This window comes from Homo sapiens, chromosome 10 (assembly GCF_000001405.40).
Source record: "Homo sapiens chromosome 10, GRCh38.p14 Primary Assembly".
In the NCBI taxonomy this organism is placed as follows: Eukaryota; Metazoa; Chordata; class Mammalia; order Primates; family Hominidae; genus Homo; species Homo sapiens.
In genome coordinates this window covers 46,357,958-46,364,357 of record NC_000010.11, presented here as the reverse complement: position 1 = coordinate 46,364,357, position 6,400 = coordinate 46,357,958, and positions in this window count along the sequence as shown.

Sequence of the window (6,400 nt, the reverse complement as noted above, 5' to 3'; positions counted from 1 at the left end):
AACTATATTAAAATTATTTCACAAAATAACCAATTTTATTAATTTAATTACATACATTTAACTAATGTTTAAATATATTTAAATAATTTAACTGATTTAAAATGAACATATTCGCTAAACAAAAGACCTTATTGGAGTTTCACCACTTTTTCCACTAATGTCCTTTTTCTGTTCCCAAATTCCACCCAGGATCACGCTGCATTTAGTTATTTCTTAGTCTCTCGCCGTTTTGTAGGACTGCAATAACAGTTCCTCAATCTTTCCTTATCTTTCATAACCGTGACATCTTGAACCAGTACTGATCAGTATTTGTGAAATGTTCCTCGATTTGGGATTGTCTGATGTATTTCCATGATTGGACTGAAGTTACGAACTTTTGGCAATTACAGCACAAAAATGATGCGGAATCCTTCCCAGTGCATTCCATCAGAGTTATGGCATTGATAGTTCTTCTTACTGATGATGTTGAACTTGTTCATTTGGTTCAGGTTTCTGCTGGGTTTCTCCATTGTAAAGTTACTATCTTTCCCCCTCATAGGGGGAAAGATCTTAGGAGAAATACTTGGAGACTATGAAAATTTTGTATTTTCTCAAACTTTAAAATTTTTTTTCAGGCCAGGCGCCGTGGCTCACGCCTGTAATCCTAGCACTTTGGGAAGCCGAGGTGGGTGGATCACCTGAGGTCAGGAGTTCAAAACCAGCTTGATCAACATGGAGAAACCCCATACCTACTAAAAATACAAAATTAGCCAGGCATGGTGGTGCATGCCTGTAATCCCAGCTACTCAGGAGGCTGAGGAAAGAGAATTGCTTGAACCCGGGAGGAGAGGCTGCCGTGAGCTGAGATCGTGCCATTGCACTCCAGCCTGGATAACAAGAGCAAAAGTCCATCACAAAAAAAAAAAAGGCCAGGCGCAATGGCTCACACCTGTAATCCCAGCACTTTGGGAGGCCAAGGTGGGTGGATCACCTGAGGTCAGGAGTTGGAGACCAGCCTGACCAACATGGAGAAACCCCATCTATACTAAAATAAAATACAAAATTAGCTGGGCATGGTGGTGCATGCCTGTAATCCCAGCTACTCGGGAGGCTGAGGCAGTAGAATTGCTTGAACACGGGAGGTGGAGGTTGCTGTGAGCCGAGATCCTGCCATTGCACTCCAGCCTGGCCAATAAAAGCAAACCTCCATCTCAAAAAAAAAAAAACAACAAAACACCTATTTTGACAGCCGGGCATGGTGGCTCACACCTGTAATTCCAGCACTTTGGGTGGCCAAGGCAGGCGGATCACCTGAAGTCAGGAGTTCAAGACCAGCCTGGCGAACATGGTGAAACCCCGTCTCTACTAAACATACAAAAATTAGTTGGGCATGGTGGCATGTGCCTGTAAGTTCCAGCTACTTGGGAGGCTGAGGCAGGAGAATCACTTGAACCCAGAAGGCAGAGGTTGCAGTGAGCCGAGACGGCGCCATTGCACTCCAGCCTGGGCAATAGAGTGAGGGATCTCAAAAAATTATAATAAAAAAATAATAATTCTATTTTGAATTGTGGTAAAATATACATAAAATTTACTACCTTAACCACTTCTAAGTGGCAGTTGGAACAGGGGTCAAGGAGAGCACTTGGGTTGGGTAATGTAGGGTATATTCACATTGCCATGCAACCAATCTCCAGAACTTTTTCATCTGACAAAACCAAAACTCTATATCCACTAAGCAACTTCCCATTTTCTCCCTTCCCCATGTCCCTGGCAAACCCCGTTCTACTTTCTGTTTCTATTAGTTTGCTTACTCAGTCTGGACGCTTCACATAAGTGAAGGAACACCGTATTTGTCTTTTTCTAACTGGCTTATTTCACTTAGCATAATGTCCTCGATGTTCATCCATGTTGTAGCATGTGTTAGAATTTCCTTCCTTTTTAAGGCTGAAGAATATTTTATTGTATGTATATACCACATTTTATCAATTCATCTGCCTATGGACAATTCGGCTGCATCCATCTTTTGACGAGTGTGAATACCACTGCTATAAATATCAGTGTACAAATATTTCTATGAGACCTTGCTTTCAATTATTTTGGCTATATACCCAGAAGTGATATTGCCGGATCATTTGGTAATTCTATTTTCAATTTTTTGAGAAACTGCCTGTCCTGTGCTGAGCAGGTCTATATAAACCTACCCGCAAAGGCCAAGGAACCTGAGATACCAAAGAAAGAGGCTGACAAATCCAGTTTCTCAGAAAGAAACATTTAATAGGCGTTTATGAACAGAAGGCAAGTCAGGGATGGCACCAAGATAAGATGGTGGATCCCTGTGCCATCACCCCCACCCCCCCGACCCAGGGCTTCTATAGCATAGGGGAAGGGTAATGCGGGCTTCAGCAGGGATGTGTATGGCCAGACACGGTGGCTCACGCCTGCAATCCCAGCTCTTTGGGAGGCCAAGGTGGGCGGATCACCTGAGGTCAGGAGTTCCAGACCAGCCTGGCCAACATGGTAACACCTCGTCTCTACTAAAAATACAAAAATTAGCCAGGCGTGGTGGCAGGCGCCTGTAATCCCAGTTACTCGGGAAGCTGAGGCAGGAGAATCGCTTGAACCCAGGAGGTGAAGTTTGCAGTGAGCTGAGATTGTGCCACTGAAGTCCAACCTGGGAGACAGAGTGAGACTCAGTCTCAAAAAATAAAAAATATATTTTTTAAAAAGATAAAATAGAAATCGTAGATGAATTGTTGGAACTGGGATTAATCAGAATATGGCAGATTAGCATCCAAGATGGAATTGCTTTATTCTCATTCAAGGTTTCCCTCATTCTTCACTCTCCCCATGCTGGTCACCTTGCTGTTTGTTCCTCAAACACATATGAAATGCGTTTCTGTCTTGGCAGTCATCCTGCTACCTGTAATGTCAACACTGCTTTCTGTTGTCCCTTCAGTCAGGTCACTGTTCAAATAGCTCTCTAGACAGGCTCTTCCTTATCATTCTACTTAAAATAGCCCCCAATCACTCTGTGTCCCTTTAGCCTGCTTCCTCTTCCTGCTATTTCATACTACCTGAAAAAATACTTGAACTTCCTAGAACATAAGCTCATAAAAGCAAGAACTGTGCTCCACCTCTCCTCTCCTCTACCCCAGCACTCAGAAGAGCAACAGAGTCAGCATCCAGTGAGTGTTCATGAATCAAGTCACTGCTTGGCAGAATTCAGCACTGGGACCACAGCCTCGCCTATCTTCAACTCTTTCTCCTTCTGCTTTTCCTCCTCCCACTCTAGTAGCCACTCTTCTGGGGGCTTGTCCCTTAAATGATTAGTCCTTACTGACCTATTTTCTGTCCACTTTATCTGTTTTTGAGAGAGGGTCTCACTCTGTTGCCCAGGCTGGAGTGCAGTGGCATGAATATGGGTCACTGCAGCCTCCACCTCCTGGGCTCAAGTGATCTTCCTGCCTCAGCCTGCCATGCCATGTAGCTGAGGCCACAGGCATGTGCCACCATGTCCAGCTAATTTCTTGATTTTTTTTTGGTAAAAATGGGTCTCACTTTATTGCCCAGTCTGGTCTTGAAGTCCTACACTCGAGCAGTCCTCTCAACTTGGCCTCCCAAAGTGCTGGGATTACAGGCATGAGATACTGCACCTGGTCTTATTTTTTCTTTTCTTAAGATACAGGGTCTCACCATCTGGCCCAGGCTGGACTCAAACTGCTGAGCTCAAGTAATTCCCCCACCTCAGCCTCCAAAGTAGCTAGGACTAAAGGCATGAAAACACCATGCTTGGCTTGTCCAATTTCATTCTACACACTTTCTTGGTGTTTAAACAGCTGCTGTTGCTCTTCATTCTGTAGCTCTACATCAGATTCATGCTCTAGTCCTGTATATCCAAATGATGACTAGAGGCTGCCGGCTCTGCTCTTTCAAAGGCACAATGAGCGTAGCCCATCTACAAAACTCTCCCTTTTCCAATCCAGCTTTCCCTCCTGCATCACCTATCTCTCTACATCTGGAACCATCGGCAGCTGCCTTCATAAGGCACCTCGGTCTGGCATTCGGAAAACCACCCTGTCTTGCCAGAGCCTCTTGGTCTTGGGTAGCAAAAGCTGTATGCAATCTAAATCAAGCTTTCAATCATGAGAAATCACATTCCTTCTTTTCCCTTTGTAATATACTCGTGTTTTTTTTTTTTTCCTTTCTCAATAAGCAAATTGTACCACCATCTTATTCTGAGATGCTCCTTTTTAAAAGCTGTAGATCACATTAATGGAAGTGGTTACTGCTGGGAATATTTTCCATGTGCAATGATCTGTAACCCTCTTTTTCTTTTTTTTGAGACCGAGTCTCGCTCTGTTGCCCAGGCCAGAGTGCAGTGGCACAATCTCTGCTCACTGCAAGCTTTGCCTCCTGAGTTCATGCCATTCTCCTGCCTCAGCCTCCCAAGTAGCTGGGACTACAGGTGCCCGCCACCACGCCCAGCTAATTTTTTTTTTTGAGATGGAGTCTCGCTTGGTCGCCCAGGCTGGAGTGCAGTGGTGCAATCTCAGCTCATTGCAAGCTCCACCTCCTGGGTTCACGCCATTCTCCTGCCTCAGCCTCCCAAGTAGCTGGGACTACAGGTGCCCGCCACCACACCTGGCTAATTTTTTTTTTTTTTTTTTTGTATTTTTAGCAGAGATGGGGTTTCACCATGTTAGCCAGGATGGTCTTGATCTCCTGACCTCATGATCCGCCTGCCTCGGCCTCCCAAAGTGCTGGGATTACAGGTGTGAGCCACCACGCCCGGCCATGCCCAGCTAATTTTTTGTTTTTTTTTAGTAGAGATGGGGTTTCATGATGTTAGCCAGGATGGTCTCAATCTCCTGACCTGGTGATCAGTCCGCCTAGGCCTCCCAAAGTGCTAGGATTACAGGTGTGAGCCACTGCGCCCAGCCGAACTGTAACCTTCTTATCTCAACTAGCTGACATTATTACTTCACATCCAGTTCAATTTATAAATTAAGAGAGGTGCCATGGGCCGGGTACGGTGGCTCACGCCCGTAATCCCAACACTTTGGGAGGCCGAGGCAGGTGGATCACGAGGTCAGGAGTTCGAGACCATCCTGGCTAACATGGTGAAACCACGTCTCTACTAAAAATACAAAAAATTAGCCAGGTGTGGTGGCAGGCACCTGTAGTCCCAGCTACCTGAGAGGCTGAGGCAGGAGAATGGTGTGAATCCGGGAGGCAGAGCTTGCAGTGAGCAGATATCATGCCACTGCACTCCAGCTGGGGCAACAGAGCAAAACATCGTCCAAAAAAAAAATAAAAATAAAAATGAAAAAGAGGTGCCATGTGTACAAAAATCAATGCATATTTATGAACTTTTTTTCAAATATATTTTCACACATTTTATCTAAATACATAATACAGAAGCCTGTGTGACTTGGGCAATGTGGCCAGGAGGGCCTGAGACTAACACATCCACCTTGGCAAAAGGACATAAAATATGTCTTATGGTCAGAAAAATCAACATTTTGTGTATTCACTTAGTTTACGAAAAGTACTGAAAATGCTATTACTAGCTGAATTTGTGATTTCCTTTTGAAATTCTGAGTTATCCTTATTTTTCCCATTTTGTTTTTGCACCAAGGAGACTGCAGTCAAATAAAACAGATACTACACGCACTCATCGGGGCAGCCGTACTGCAGAAGCACGTTGATGCACTCCTGGCTGGAGGCCTGCCGGGCGTAGGTCAGCGCTGTGTTCCCGTGGGCATCTCGGGCCATGACGTCCACCCTGTACCAGATCAGGAGCTGCGCCAGGACCACATTCCCCTTGCGGCAGGCCAGATGGAGCGCCGTGCAGCCGTCTCCCTCCCCACAGGTCTCGTTCACCTCCTCACGGGAGCCATGTGCCAGCAGCAGGATGGCTGTCTGCAGGTCCTCATCAGCGGTGGCCCGCAGCAGGTGCTGGCCCAGGGACAGCTCAGTGCAGGGTAGTGGGGCCAGAAAGAGCTTCTTCTCATATTTGGAACGGATCCACCGTTCCTTCTCTTCCCTCGTGGACTTTACTGAGGGTTTTGTCTGCCCCTGGCTGCTCCCTTCCCAGATGCTGTTGGCTAGGTCATTGCCAATAGATGACATAACCTTCCTGAGCTCAACTGGCCAGTCATCCAGCTCCAGAGATCGCACACGGGAAAGGCGGGTGCCAAGACTGCAGTGGATTCCTGAGCATTCAATACACATGAGGACTCCCAAGTTCAAACTGGCCCACTTAGGATTCTGGGTCTCACAGTCCACACAGTGGGCATTCCCACGCATGTTTTGGATCGACTGCAGGGCCATGGCCTCGCTCTGGCTGGTCAGCTGGGACTTGCTTTTACTGCTCTCGCATGACTGCAGGCTGGCCACGATCTGGCTCTGGATGGCTTGG